Source organism: Homo sapiens, chromosome 7 (assembly GCF_000001405.40).
Source record: "Homo sapiens chromosome 7, GRCh38.p14 Primary Assembly".
Taxonomy (NCBI): domain Eukaryota; kingdom Metazoa; phylum Chordata; class Mammalia; order Primates; family Hominidae; genus Homo; species Homo sapiens.
Window position 1 is genome coordinate 149,662,689 of NC_000007.14, and position 16,234 is coordinate 149,678,922.

Sequence of the window (16,234 nt, forward strand, 5' to 3'; positions counted from 1 at the left end):
CCCAAGAGCTTGTCTTTTGTCTTCGGCTACCAGGGTGGGTAGAGGAAAGCCACCAGGTGGGGGCAGTGTTTAGCGGGTCTAAGCTCTGGTACTTCTTGGGCGGGGCTTGCTGCAGTCACTGTAGGGCATAGGGTGAGTGGTTCTCAGGCCAACAGAGCTATGTTCCAAGGGGGATTATGGCTGTCTCTGCTGCATTATACAGGCTGCCAGGGAAGTGGTAGAAAGCCAGCAGTGACAGGCCTCGCCCAGCTCCCAAGCAGTCAGCAAGGCCAGTCTCACTCCCTCCATGCCCTGCCAACAGCACCGAGTTTATATCCAGGCAGCTGACACACAGGGCTGCAATCCTGCTTCAGGCTACAAGCCTCCCCACTGAGAAAGCAAGCAGGGTTTTCAGGCCTCATCCCTCCCTGTCTGCCCATGATGTCAGCTGCAGCTCCTGTACTCATACCTACACATCTCATTCATCCACTGGATTCTGCTCAGGAAAATTCGTGCTCAGTTGAAATTATTACAAAGCTCAACTAGAAGCTTCTTTTACCCTGTAGCCCCTCCCTAATTCTGCTCTCTGCCTTCCCCAAGGACCCCTGTGAGATAAAGTCAGGAATGGCTTCCCTGGGCTTGAGCTGGAGTCTGGGAGTACCTACGGGGCCCTTCTTACTGCTTCTTCTACTTTTATATTTTGCTCAGCTCCCTAAATCCATTTCAGCTGTACATAAGGTTAAATCCTACTCCTATGATCTGGGTTTTTAGGTTCCACAGTGAAGATGTGTGTTCAGAGGCAAACCTTCCCCACTCATACATTGGGAACTCACAGTTTTTTGTCTATCTCATAGAGTTTGCAGCAGCAAGCTGCTTCTTTAAAAGGGTCTGTGAGTTCTTTTGGTTTTTCTGGTGTGATCCTATGGTGGTTCTTGGAGCAAAAGTTCATGATGTGAATTTCCACATGCTGTTCTGTTTGTCCAGGTGGGAGCTGCACATTGGTCTTCTCTTCCATCCATCATTTTCTACACTCTCAGCATTTTAGTTTCCATGAACCAGTTTCTGTGACTGTGCATGCTTTCCATTTTGTCCAATTTTTGAATGTAAATGTTTATTGCAATAATTCTGTTCTTGTACCATCATTGTACTTGAGGTGTTCAATGGGTACAAATTTTCTCTTTTGAGTTCATAGATCTTTGAATCAAGAGTAGCCTCATCTGATTTAATATGGATCACAAGAGCTTGGACTTTGTCTAATTGAATGAGGCTTTGAGAACCTTGGGATAGAGGTGAGTATATTTTGCACATGGGAGAGATGTAAGTAATTATGACCAAGAGGGCAGTTCATGGTAGATGAAACTGTTGGCCCTGAATTTTGATTTATTTCTGCATCTGTGGCCTTTACCTTCTTTTCAGATCTTCCCACTGGAGGTGAAACATGCTTTCTTGCTCTTGAGTTACAGTTTGGTCTTGTGACTGGCCGCCTTGATCATTGAGGTGTTCTCACATGTAATGCAAATAGGGGCTTGAAAGCTGCTTTCATAGTTGGGCCTACCCCTTTGCATTTCTGCTGTCACCATAAGAAAAGTGCCCCTTGCTAGCTGCTACTCCTCCATCCGGGATCATAGAAGGAACACACATGGAGCAGATCTAAGCCCAGCTCAGACAGAAACCAAGCACAGATGGACCCACAGCTTGAAGCGGATACACGAGGTCGAGCCCAGCCTGCATCAGCTGATTGGCATCCATGCTGCTGACCTATGAGCATGAGAATACATGCTTATTGTTTCAAGCAGCCAATTTTGGGATGATTTATTATGACACATTGTTGTGAAAATAGCCTTGATACTTAGACCTGCCTCTCCCCCAACCCCTACTCCCATCAGGTACTGAGTAAGGGAACGGGAGGAGACCTCAGTTGAAGGAGTTCAGGTTGTGGCTACAAGGTAGAAAGATGCCATTAGACAAGTGACAGGAGGTTATTTGGGGAGTGAAGGAGTGAACTCATGGCCTGAAGAGCAGTCTCTAGTCATTTGTGGTAGGGCTGCCAATTTCCATAAGCTGGCCAGGAATTAATACAATTTACAGTGCACTATAGAATCCTTGGGTGTGGTGACACAGGTGAAATATGCTAAGGAGGAATGTCCACCAGGCAAGGGGGTATAGCTCACAGGTAGAGCATTTGACTGCAGATCAAGAGGTCCCCGGTTCAAATCTGGGTGCCCCCTGATGCCACTTAGCTGTGGGTTCTCTTTTTCTGATGTTAGGCTTGCTTGTCATCCTCACCACTGTCCTTCCTATAGCTTGTGTCAGTTTTCTCAGATGACTTCATTTTTCTGGCACAAGTCATGGTCAAGTCACTAATAATCTGCATGTGTTTCAGAAGTTCTAATGAGCTGCTCTTCTTTGAAGTTTATATTATGGCAGGACAGCCTGAATCAGAGGTCACCCAGTCTGACTTTGCATCAGAATTACTGATAGATCTTATAAAAAATACAGATTACTCCCTAGAAGTTCCAATTTAGTAGGACTGAGGAGGAATCAGAGAACTTCTACTTTTGGGGGTCATTTGGGGCATAATCCCCTGTTAATACCTGTTCTAACATCCAATAATTCTAAGTGGCTGGAAAATTGTTTTGGAACTTACAACAACTTGTCATTCTAAACAACATCCCAGTGGGAAGCATCAGTGATGTTCAAGCTAGTGCCTGCCTTCAGTCCATCACTGAGGGCATGTGGGGTGCTGAGCTGCAGGCATAGGCAGTGGCCAGGTGTGTAGAGGTGGGAGAGTGTGGGAAGGTGGGGGATGTCTGAATGAAGCTGTGGGCATGGTAGGAGGGTGACCAATTGCAATGGCACAGTCAGCTAGGGGTGGTGGCAGGCCATGAGTGATTACTCGACTCCCTGCATTGAAGTTCAGAATTGAAGCATGCTCAAGGCAACACTAGTTGTTTTTGAGTAAAGCATTTGATTGATGATCCACAGGTCCCTGACTCAAATTCATGTGTTCCCTACCTACACTAATTTCTTCCCATACTGACCAGAGTATTAAAAAACAATTTCCTTTCACCTCCTGAGGCCCCTGCACCTGACTCTTCCTGCAAGGTGGACGAGAGGGTAAGGAGGTTGGTTTGTCCCATGCTCCTCTCTACTTTCCTGCTGCCCCACGTGACCTGCCCAGATCTGCTCTGCATGCCTGATTCAGTCTTGTCTTGCTTTGCTTTGGTGAGCATTTCTCTTGTGTTTTCTTTTTTTTCTTCCTATTCTTCCCCATCCTGTGAACCCTCTGTCCACATTTTGAGGTTCCCCAGTTGTGTGAGGCACAGTGGAAGACATGGCTCTGCTTGCAGCACCCGAAGCTGAAGGAAAAAGCCTCTTTCTCTCTGTCTTCCTGGCACTTCTGGCCACCCAGTGCCACCGACTGACACAATGCATGCAGACTGAGTGACTTGTACAGGCAGAGACAGCTTAGCATTCATTCCTGGGCTGGCAGAGCTCAGGCACAGTCTGACACCTTCCTAACCAGTGTGACTTCCTGAAAGCCAGGCTGCCTGGGTCCCCCTGGATCCCCCGTTTCAAAAGCCCAGGCTTCCTGACACATGGACAATGGCCATCTCATCTGTTTCACTGGACAGAACCAGTTTCTGTAACGATGTACCTAGGCAGATATAAAAATTGCAATTGGAGAGGGGTGCAGAAAAAGGATCCTAAAGAAAATGGAGTGTAGGATGGACTTTCTGTCATGATTGGGATTGCAGAAAGTAGAAATCTAGTTGATTGTTCAAAGTTGACAATCTGGGAGCCCAAGGGTCTCAGGGATAAAGTAACTGAGTAACTGGTCACCTGGATTCAAGGCTGCTTACTCACCTGGTAGGTATTCAATGGTTGCTTATGGCTGGCATTCATTCTGATTGGTCAGTGTCTCTGCTGTAGCTGTTGTTAAATATTTCAAGTGTCACTTCTTCTTGGAATAAAGTTCCCACTGGAGGACAAAACTTTTAGAGACCAGCTGTTGTTACATAGCAGTAAAAAGGGCCCAGCCAAGTCTGACAGCATTAGGAAGCTCAAAGACATACAATGGAAAGCTCAGATGTCTACGCCTTCTCCAGACACAGATGGAATGTGCAGATGTCCCCACAACTACACCAAAACACTCAGCTCTTGATGCTGAATAACTGAGATTGCTGAAAAATGAAAAGGCAGAATTGCCAATCTGCAATTCTTGTTGATTTCACATTTCCCCATCTCTTGTGTTATGAATTGCTACTTCAGTGATAGCTGCAGGGAATTTTTGGAAGATGTCAGGAGAACTTCTCAAACTTGGAAGAAATTGCTACACTCTACTCTCACATTAGCCTTTGTTGGGATATTTTTCTGTTCCTGAGATAATGGTGCCAGGGAGGATAAAATGCTGAAGTTCAATGGTTCTCCCTGATTAGTTAACAAGAACACCAGGGAATGGGTTCTACTTACCAAATTCTACCTACGTGTGTGTGTGTGTGTGTGTGTGTGTGTATATATATATATATATATTTCTATATTTCCAATAATCCAGAAAGTTTTTTTCTAACAGTTAACTCATGTGCACACACGCACATTTGATATTGCTCATTTTGAGTGTCTATGGTGGCCTATCCTTTCTGCTTGTTATCTAAAAATAAGTTGAACTTTGTGATAAGAGAAACAGCCTTGGCACTAAGTGTTTCTAGAGTTTATTGGTTTTATTATTTCCAATAAATCAACTTTTGGCTTTGTTGCTTTTCTCTGATTGTATGATTGTTTTTTATTCCATTGATTTCTCCTCTGATGTTTGTTATGTATTTCTTTTTAATTTAGGGTTAAATTGCTGGTTTTTTTCTTGATATTTAGATATAAGCATAGATATAATGCTTGTTAAAACTCATACTCTTAGTTGAAGATATAAGAAAAGAAAAAAGGCTGAATATCAGATATCTGATACTCAGTTATCAGTTATATGAAATAAGAAAAATAAGGCTAAATATCAGATAATCTGATCAGTTAAGTGTATGAGTTTGGGCCAGGTGTGGTGGCTCATGCCTGTAATCCTAGCACTTTGGGAGGCTGAGGCAGGTGAATCATCTGAGGTCAGGAGTTCGAGACCATCCTGGCCAACATGGCGAAACCCCGTCTCTACTAAAAATACAAAAATTAGCCAGGCGTGGTGGCGCATGCCTGTAATCCCAGCTACTCAGGAGGCTGAGGAAGGAAAATCACTTAAACCCGGGAGGTGGAGGTTGCAGTGAGCCAAGATCACACCACTGCACGATGGGAGCGAGACTCCATCTCAAAAAGCAAACAAACAAACAAAAAAGAGCGTGAATTCATGACTTTACCTGTACCACATGAATTTTGATTTGTTATATCTTTGTTAACATTTGGTTCAAGATACTTTCTAATTTCTATTTTGATCTCTTCTTTTGCTTATAGGTTATTTGGAAGTGTATTGTTTGGCTTCCAAGAGGCTGGGGATTTCTAGTTATTTCTGTTTCTCATAACTTAGCCTAATTCAGCTATAATATGGTCCGAAAACATTCTCTATGATTTCAATCCTCAAATTTGTGGCAACTTACTTTATATCACCAAATATTGTTAACTTTGATAAATGTACTGTGCGCATTAAAATATATAAAATGTGCTATTGAATGGTGCACTGTTCATTATATATCAAATAGGTCATATTTTCTGGTTGTGTTATTCAGATTCTTCATATGCTTAGCAACATTTTATTTGCCTTTTCTATTAGCTACAGAAAAAGGTGTGTTAAAATCTGCCACTATGATTAAGGATATGTCTATTTCTATTTTTAGTTCTATCCATTTTTGTTTATTTTCACACTATATTTTTAGGTGCATTCAGATTTGGGATTATAATAGCTTCCTGCTAGATTGACCTCCTTATCATTTTTAAATATCCCCTCTATCTGTAGAAACTCTTATCAAGTTAAAGTCTATTTTGCATCATATTAATATTGCTATACTAGCCTCTTTGGTTATTGTTTGTACGGTGTGTTTTTATTTATACTTTCACCTGCTATATGTGACCCTACGCTTAAGTTTCAACTAAGCAACTTATAGTGTGGTTTTGTTTTCTCATTCAGTCTGAAAATTTTATATTTTAATTGGAGTTTTAAATACTTTTATATTATTTAAAGTAATTGGGTTATTTACTTTCAGCACTGTAAAAATATTGTTTCATGTCACCTGGCTCCCATAATTTCTTTTGGCAAATCATCTGTTAATTGTAAAATTTGATTTTTTTCCCTACTGATTGCTTTTTCAGATTTCTCTTCCTCTCTCTCTCTTTTTTTTTTTTATTTTTTCTTTGAGACGGAGTCTCGTTCTGTCACCCAGGCTGGAGTGCAGTGGCACAATCTTGGCTCACTGCAACCTCCACCTCCTGTGTTCAAGTGATTCTCCTGCCTCAGCCTCTCAAGTAGCTGGGATTATAGGCACATGCCACCAGGCCTGGCTAATTTTTGTATTTTAAGTAGAGATGGGGTTTCACCATGTTGGCCAGTCTGGTCTTGAACTCCTGACGTCAAGTGATCCGCCCACCTCAGCCCTACCAAAATGCTAGGATTACAGACGTGAGCCACCGTGCCTGGCCTCTTCCTCACTCTTTAAAAACATGGTTTCTTTTGGTTTTGTTTGTATGTTTTGTCCTCTGTCTTTTCCTCCATCACCTACAGATGGCGTTAATATTCTCCTTTGTTTTTATTTCCTTTTGACTAACTGAATTTCTTAAATAAGTGGGTTGATGTTTTCCATTAGTTTTGGAAAATGCTTGTCAATTATCCTTTCACATCTTGGTTTTGCTTCATTCACTTTCTTACCTCCTTTTGGAATTTCAATGACATGTAAGAACTTTTAACTGTTTCCCATTTATATCCTATTTTCCTTTTCTTTTCATCCATTCTTTACCTTTCTGTGCTTCAGTTTAGATATTTTTCTATTGATTTGTTTTTCTGTTCACTAATCCAGTGGTCCACTGTGACTAAGTTTCTGTTAAATGCACGTATTACAATTTTAATGTTAAATATTATAATTTTTGTTTTAGAATTTCCTTTGAATTTTTTCTTACAAATTAGAACGTGAAATTCACACTTTTCTCACATTTTTTCTATGTTCCTGTTTTCCTAAATATATTATCAAAGTTATTTTAAATTCTATGATATCTAGATCACTTGCTTCGACTGTCTGTTTTTCTTTTGGTTTTGTTCATATTTCTCTGACTGTTGATATACCTAGTAATCTTTATTGAATGCCAGACATTGTGTATTAAAAGAATAAAGGCTCTCAATAAAATTATTTTCTACTAGACAAAATTCACCCTCCTCCTCCTCTTCCTGCTCTTCCTGCTCCCTCCTCCTCCTCCTTCTTCTGCTTCTTCTTTTTTGAAAGAAGATAGAGTGGAGGGCTGATGATTTTAAACCAATAAGGAAATGAGTGGTCTTTTCTGCTAAGAAAAATGAAAATGTAATTTTGGTAATGCTCCTTCTATCTGTGACTTGTCCCACTTTTTGAGCGTTGCCCTACCAGGTTTGCAATAAAAAACCTGGCAGGTCTTTCTCTTCTCAACCGAAAAATCCACTCTTGTTTTTAGAGTTTGGGCTTATATTTCTGGATTCTTCCTTCATGGAGCTTCACAACTCAGCAATTTTCTTGAGGAGTGAAACCAGCTATGTATTTAAGGACTCTAAAGTCTCCATTTTCATGCTCCAGCATTGTACATCTGTTCAAAAGCTCCCTTGGTGTTCCTATTTCCTGACACATGTATGCTGGTGCCAACATTGGGAGCTCAGCCTCTAGCTGGGCTTAGAATTGGCAAGTGTCCCAGAGAAACAGTGGCTGCAGATCCTCAGTGTCAATTCACTACTTTCTTCAGGGCTTTCACTTTCTCCTGGCGTGTTCTTTCCCCTTTCTCTACCCCAGGAATTTTCATCTTCTTAGTACCATGAAATTGTTATAAATTCTGTTCTTTTTCCCAGAGATTTTCCTTAATTTTATAACCTCTTGCCCCACATAGTTTTAGAATTCTGAAAATGTCTAGAGGTAAAAAACAGCTATATGTTTAATGTCCCCCAAGTCTACAGTCTTGTCACAGCAACCCTGAGTGACCAACAAAAGTTTCATTGGGTTCCCAGTACCTCAGCAGCAGCCCTATGCTTGGACCTAAGGCAGATTATCAGCCTGCACCCAAGACTGGAAAATGCTCTCAGGTAAAATGTGACTGCAGTCCGTCAACTCACTTCCAAAAGGTTCTCTCCTCTCTGGAATTTTAGTTCTTCTAGTCCTTGCTGCTTCTGCAACTCTCTGATGCTTTTAAAATGTGAATTGCCTTTTTAAACTGGCTTTTCTAGCTTTCTTTGGCATGACACAAACTCCTTCATCCTATCTGAAAGAAAATTATACAAATGTGGTTTTAAGAATTATTTTGGGTAGAAACAGGAGAGCAACAAGTGAAAATGTCTGATGATAAAACTGAATTCCTTAGCTCCTATTTCCTTTCTTATTTTTAGGAAAGGAGTAGGATTATTTCTAAGTGAATACAGGAGGGCAAAGAGATGGAAAGCCTGATAGGACACCACCAAGCGGCTAGTGATTAGCTGAACTTTTCCCCCAGGAAGAGATTTGGTTCTTAACTATAAGTTTGGATGAATAGGCATCAAAATATCAACATTTGTTTAGCTTGTGGCATTATAGGTAATTTTACTTTTTTCTTGATGCTTATTTGTGTTTCCTAAGTTTTTAATCTTTGTAATATGTAATTTTACATATTGTTAAATCCTGTGAGGCACATTAGACAGATTCAAATAAGTTATATTATTAGTATTTACATTGAAAATATATTTCCTTGATAATCCAAATAATAAATTATTGCCCCAAGAATAAAACACTCCAGGGCAAAACCCCTTTTCGTATGGGAGCTGTTTTCACCCTATTAAATCTTGCAACTGCACACTCTTCTGGTCCGTGTTTGCTATGGCTTGAGCTGAGCTTTCACTTGCCGTCCACCACTGCTGTTTGCCGCCATCGCAGACCTGCCACTGACTTCCACCCCTCTGGATCTGGCAGGGTATCCATTGTGTTCCTGATCCAGTGAGGCACCCATTGCCACTCCTGACTGGGCTAAAGGCTCGCCATTGTTCCTTCACGCCTAAGTGCCCGGGTTCATCCTAATCGAGCTGAACACTACTCACTGGGTTCCACGTTCTCTTCCGTGACCCATGGCTTCTAATAGAGCTATAACACTCACCACATGGCCCAGGGTTCCATTCCTTGGAATCTGTGAGGCCAAGAACCCCAGGTCAGAGAACAAAAGGCTTGCTGCCATCTTGGGAGCAGCCTGCCCCATCTTGGGAGCTCTAAGAACAAAGACCCACCGGTAACATTTGGTGGCCTGTATGGGGATTCACCAAAGCGGTGAGTAATATCAGACCACTTTTGCTTGCTATTCTATCCTATCCTTCCTTAGAATTGGAGGAAAATGCCGGGCACCTGTCAGCTGGTTAAAAATGATTAGCATGGCCACCAGACTAAAGACTCAGGTGTGAGGCTTCCTGGGAAAAGGCTTTCTAACAACCCCCAACCCTTCTGGATTGGGAGCACTGGTCTGCCTGGAACCAGCTTCTGTTTTCACAATTTTCCTGGGGAAGCCGAGGGTTGACTAGAGGCAGAAAGCTGTCGTCCCGAACTCCCGCATTGGCCGATCGAGATCATGGTGCAGCCAGAAGTCTCTACTCAACAGTTGCCCATGCATGGGCCCCTACCTCTCCTTCTGACCCATACCTCCTGGGTCCTGACCACGACTTTCTTGAAAGTGTAGCCCCAAAATTCTCCTTATCTCTGATTCTACTTCTTCCGATCCCTGCCTCCTAGATACTAATGCTTCAGACTTCACTTCCTCTCCCGAGTATTAGAGCAGGTTGTATCTCCAAAGGGATCTAAGGAAGCTCTACACTGTGTCCTTAGGCACCTAGGCTATGAACCCAGGGAGTCTTGTCCCAATTTAGGCATACAGCTCTTGACATGGGCAGTTATGTGGGACCCATTCCCCACCACCCTTTCCAGGGCCTTAGAACTGACAACCCAGTACTTTAACAACTGGAACTGGATCTACAACAACATAATAGATCAGGATGAAAATGAATTGAGTAAATTAAAGGGAGGCGCATATTCCTATAGTGGCAAATGGGGGCAACGAGCCAATGTCCTTCCACTGTGTTTCCAAAATCCATCTACAAAGACAGAGAGGAGAGACAGAGAGGAGAGAAAGAGAGAGGAAAGAGAAGAGAGAGACAGAGAGGAGAGAGACAAAAAAACAGAGAGGGAGTCAGAGAAAGTCAAAGAGAGAGACAGAAAGTCAAGGAGAGAAAGAAAGAGAAAAATAGAAGTAGTAAAGAAAAAAAACAGTGTACCCTATTCCGTTAAAAGCCAGGGTAAATTTAAAACCTATAGTTAATAATTGAAGGTCTTCTCGGTGACCCTGTAACACTCCAATACCACCTTGTTGTCAGTGTAAACAAGGGCATAGCTCGAAAGCACTGAGGCCACTGACAACCCATAGCCTTCCTATCAAATATCCTTAACCCAGTAACCCATGGATGGGCTAAATGCATTCAGTCCGTAGCGGCAACTGCTTTGTTAAAAGTAGAAAAATAACCTTTAGAGGAAACCTCATTGTGAGCACACCTCACCAGTTTAGAGCTATCCTAAGTCAAAAAAAGCAAAAAGTTATCTTACTAACTCAAAAATCTTAAAGTATGGGGCTACTCTGTTAGAAAAAGGTGATTTAACACTAACCACTGAAAATTCCCTTAACCCAGCAGATTTCCTAACAGGGGATTTAAATCTTAATTACCATACAAAGGTCCAACCGGAACTAGGAGGAACTCCCTTCAGGACAGGACATAGATGGTTTCTCCCAGGTGACTGAGAAAAAAAATCACAATGGGTATTCAGTAATTGATAGGGAGATGCTTGTGGAAGCAGAGTTAGGAGAATTGCCCAATAATTGGTCTGTGCAAGCTGTTTGCACTCAGCCTAGCCTTAAAGTACTTACAGAATCAAAAAAAACCTCTCTCAATCCTGCCTCAAAAGTTTACCTACACCCTCTCTGAAAAGAATTGTTGTTTATGGGAATGCATCTTGATGGGGCAGCTGGGTTGTTACAAAATACTCAGGAACCCATCCCAGCTCTAGGACTCACCCCGAGCACACAGGCAATGCTGGACACGCTGGTAAAGGATCACTAGAATCCAGCAGCCCGGACCCCTTTCTTTGTAGTCAAGAAAGGCAGGAAAAGGGGTGCAGACTGCTACATCCGTGAGCGTAACTAATCTGATAAGCAGAGGCCCATGAGTGGCTACGTACCTTGGAAAGGAATAAGCAATAGGACCATAGAGGACACTGTAGGACTAATGCTCATCAGAAAATGACTAGGGGTGCTGGCATCCCTATGTTCTTTTTTCAGATAGGAAACTTTCCCCCCAAAGGAAAAACGCCCCTAAGATGCATTCTGGAGAACTTGGCCCAGTCAGAGTGCATGTACCTTTTTCCCTCTCAGACTTGAGGAAAATTAAAATAGACCTAGGTAAATTCTCAGATAACCCTGATGGCTATATTGATGTTTTACAAGGGTTAAGACAATCCTTTGATCTGACATGGAGAGATATAATGTTACTGCTAGATCAGTCACTAACCCCAAATGAGAAAAGTGCCGCCAAAACTGCAGCCCGAGAGTTTGGCGATCTCTGGTATCTCAGTCAGGTCGAGGATAAGATGACAACACAGGAAAGAGAACAATTCCCTACAGGCCAGCAGGCAGTTCCCAGTGTAGACCCTCACTGGGATGCAGAATCAGAACACGGAGATTGGTGCCACAGACATTTGCTAACTTGCATGCTAGAAGGACTAAAGAAAACTAGGAAGAAGACTATGAATTACTCAATGATGTCCACTATAACACAAGGAAAGAATGAAAATCCTACTGCCTTTCTGGAGAGACTAAGGGAGTCATTGAGGAAGCATACCTCTCTGTCACCTGACTCTATTGAAGGCCAACTAATCTTAAAGGATAAATTTATCAGTCAGTCAGTTGTAGACATTAGAAAAAAACTTCAAAAGTCTGCCTTAGGCCCAGAGCAAAACTTAGAAACCCTATTGAACTTGGCAACCTCGGTTTTTTATAATAGAGATCAGGAGGAGCAGGTGGAACAGGACAAACGGGATAAAAAGAAGGCCACCGCTTTAGTCATGGCCTTCAGGCAAGCGGACTTTGGAGACTCTGGAACAGGGAAAGGCTGGGCAAATCAAATGCCTAATAGGGCTTGCTTCCAGTGCAGTTTGCAAGGACACTTTAAAAAAGATTGTCAGAATAGAAATAAGCCGCCCCCTCGTCCATGCCCCTTATGTCAAGGGAATCACTGGAAGGTCCACTGCCCCAGGGGACAAAGGTCCTCTGAGTCAGAAGCCACTAACCAGAAGATCCAGCAGCAGGACTGAGGGTGCCCGGGGCAATGGCGCCAGCCCATGCCATCACCCTCACAGAGCCCCGGGTATGCTTGACCATTGAGGGCCAGGAGGTTAACTGTCTCCTGGACACTGGTGTGACCTTCTTAGTCTTACTCTCCTGTCCCGGACAACTGTCTTCCAGATCTGTCACTATCTGAGGGGTCCTAGGACAAGCAGTCACTAGATACTTCTCCCAGCCCCTAAGTTGTGACTGGGGAACTTTACTCTTTTCACATGCCTTTCTGATTATGCCTGAAAGCCCCACTCCTTTGTTAGGGAGAGACATTCTAGCAAAAACAGGGGCCACTATACACCTGAACATAGGAGAAGGAAAAAGGGTAAATATATATACAGACTCTAAGTATGTTTACCTAGTCCTCCATGCCCACGCAGCAATATGGAGAGAAAGGGAATTCCTAACTTCCAAGGGAACACCTATCAAACATCAGGAAGCCATTAAGAGATTATTATTGGCTGTACAGAAACCTAAAGAGGTGGCAGTCTTACACTGCTGGGATCATCAGAAAGGAAAGGAAAGGGAAATAGAAGGGAACCACCAAGCGGATATTGAAACTAAAAGAGCTGCAAGGTGGGACCTTCCATTAGAAATGCTTATAGAAGGACCCCTACTATGGGGTAATCCCCTCCAGGAAACCAAGCCCCAGTACTCAGCAGAAGAAACAGAATGGGGAACCTCACGAGGACAAAGTTTCCTCCCCTCACGATGGCTACCCACCGAAGAAGGAAAAATACTTTTGCCTGCAGCTAACCAATGGAAATTACTTAAAACCCTTCACCAGACCTTTCACTTAGGCATTGATAGCACCCATTGGATGGCCAAATCATGATTTACTGGACCAGGACTTTTCAAAACTGTCAAGCAGATAGTCAGGGCCTGTGAAGTGTGCCAAAGAAATAATCCCCTGCACTTCAGGCCATACATTTCAATCCCTGTATCTTTAACTTCCTTGTTAGGTTTGTCTATTCCAGAATTGAAGCTGTAAAACTACAAATCGTTCTTCAAATGGAGCCCCAGATGCAGTCCATGACTAAGATCTACTGCGGACCCCTGGACCGGCCCACTAGCCCATGCTTTGATGTTGATGACATTGAAGGCACCCCTCACGAGGAAATCTCAACTGCACGACCCCTACTATGCCCCAATTCAGCAGGAAGCAGTTAAGAGCTGTCGTTGGCCAACGTCCCCAACAGCACTTGGGTTTTCCTGTTGAGAGGGGGTACTGAGAGACAGGACTAGCTGGATTTCCGGGGCCAACTAAGAATTCCTAAGCCTAGCTGGGGAGTGTGACTGCATCTACCTTTAAACACGGAGCTTGTAACTCAGCTCACACCCGACCAATCAGGTAGTAAAGAGGGCTCACTAAAATACAAATTAGGCTAAAAGCAGGAGGTAAAGAGTCATATCATATATCACCTGAGAGCACAGGGGGAGGGACAATGATTGGGATATAAACCAAGGCAGTCTAGCAGGGAGCGGCAACCCCCTTTGGGTCACCTCCCTTATATGGGAGATCTGTTTTCACTCTATTAAATCTTGCAACTGCACACTCTTCAGGTCCGTGTTTGTTATGGCTCAAGCTGAGCTTTCGCTCGCCATCCACCACTGCTGTTTGCCGCCGTCCCAGACCCGCCGTTGACTTCCACCCTTCTGGATCCAGCAGGGTGTCCATTGCACTCCTGATCCAGCGAGGTGCCCATTGCCGCTCCTGATTGGGCTAAAGGCTCACCATTGTTCCTGCACAGGTAAGTGCCCGGCTTTGACCTAGTTGAGCTGAACACTAGTCGGTGGCTTCCATGGTTCTCTTCTGTGACCCACAGCTTCTAATAGAGCTATAACACTCACCACATGGCCCAAGCTTCTATTCCTTGGAATCTGTGAGGCCAAGAACCTTAGGTCAGAGAACAAAAGGTTTGCCGCCATCTTGGGAGCCGCTTGCCCCATCTTGGGAGCCGCCCGCCACCATCTTGGGAGCTCTAAGAATAAGGACCCTCCCGTAACACTGGTTCCAATCCAAGATCTACCTGGTCTAATTTCAAGATAAAAACTCTTTCTCTGAAGGAGAATTGCCACTTGCTGAATAAGGCATTGATTTGCACCAAGAATTTGCAATCCTCCCTGGTGATTGTCCTGTCCTGGCTTGTCACAGGCCCCTTTCAGTATCCTGAGTGGCCATAGACACTGAACACTGAGATCTATTGGGTATTAGAGTCAAATGGCAGAAGTGACCCAGCTAGAGTCTTCCCCTGTTCTTGGCCCCACTTAATTCTGGCACGCAAAGGCTCCAATTTCTCCATATCCTCTCCAAAACCTATAAATGGGCTGAGAAAGTACAAACAAATGTAGTGTAGGCAATTTCCCCCCACTCCACCAAAGCAAAGCGGCTTATCAAATACTATGCCTCTCTCTTAGTGTTAATGATGGCTGTGGGAAGGGTTAGGGCAATGTTTACCAATTCATCATTCACATGAGAAGAGTAACCTGACAATCCCCAAACCACTAGATACCCAGAAACCTCACTGAGGTGTCAGGTACTTGTTATTTTATGCAATTTTTCTCCCATTCCCTTGCACTCTTGTGACTTATCAGGGCATCTAGACTACTTTATATTTGGTATTCTCTGGGTCCTAGAAGAATACTATCAACATGTGGGCACACTGTGGTGTCCTATGGGATAATGGCTAAGTTCCCTGTGGACCAAATTGTGGCACTAAGCTAGAGTCAATGTAACTCAGGGCAAGACAGTGAAGATGCACCTAAAAAGCAAAAACAAATTGCTTCTAATGCCTTCTGCTGACTAGTATTCAGACAATATACATTAAATCAATATTTAATTTGGCAGACAGAATTGGGATTACCACACAACTATTCATTATAAACCATCCCCATTCTCTAAGGCCCATCTATTTTCACCACTAAGTGGTAGACACAAATTGACAGGTGTTTGAAATATCCATCCTTGCAACTTTCAACTCTTTAATGGTAGCTCCCATTTCTGAGACTTCTTCAGGAATGTGGCATTGATTTTCTTTTTCAATTTTTTTATTGTGGTAAATTACATTTACCATTTTAACTGTAAGTTCAGTGATATTAAATATGTTCATAATGCTGTGCAACTACAACTATCCATCTTCAAAACTCTTTTCATCTTGTAAAACTGAAACCCTACATCCATTAAATAATAACTTCTCATTTCCTCCTCCTCTGAACCCCTAGCAACCACCATTCTACTTTGTTTCTATGACTTTGACTACTCTAAGCAGCTCACGTATGTGGAATAATAAAGTATTTGTATTTTTGTGACTGTTGTATTTTACTTAGCATAATGTCCTTGAGGTTCATCCATGTTGTAGCATATGTCAGAATTTCCATCTTTTTAAAGGCTGAGTAGTATTCCATTGTATGTATTTACTACATTTTGCTTATTGATTCATCCATCAATGGACAGTTGGGTTGCTTCCACATATTAGCTATTGTAAATAATGATGCTATAAACATGAGTGTACAAACATCTCTTCAAGACCCTGCTTTCAATTCTTTTGGGTATTACTCAGAAATGAATTGCTTGATCATATAGTAATTCAATTTTTAATTATTATAGGAACCATCATACTGTTTTCCACAGTGGCTTTACCATTTTACATTCCCAAAGACGGTACACAAAGGCTCCAATTTCTCCATATCCTCTCCAACACTTGTTATT

General features: G+C 42.7%; 1 non-coding gene across 1 annotated transcript; it reads left to right on the plus strand.

Annotated features, from left to right (window-relative positions):
• Positions 1-2,135: 2,135 nt before the first annotated feature.
• Positions 2,136-2,207, plus strand: TRC-GCA21-1 (tRNA-Cys (anticodon GCA) 21-1). Its single transcript has one exon. It is a non-coding gene; the product is annotated as a tRNA-Cys (tRNA).
• Positions 2,208-16,234: the final 14,027 nt, after the last annotated feature.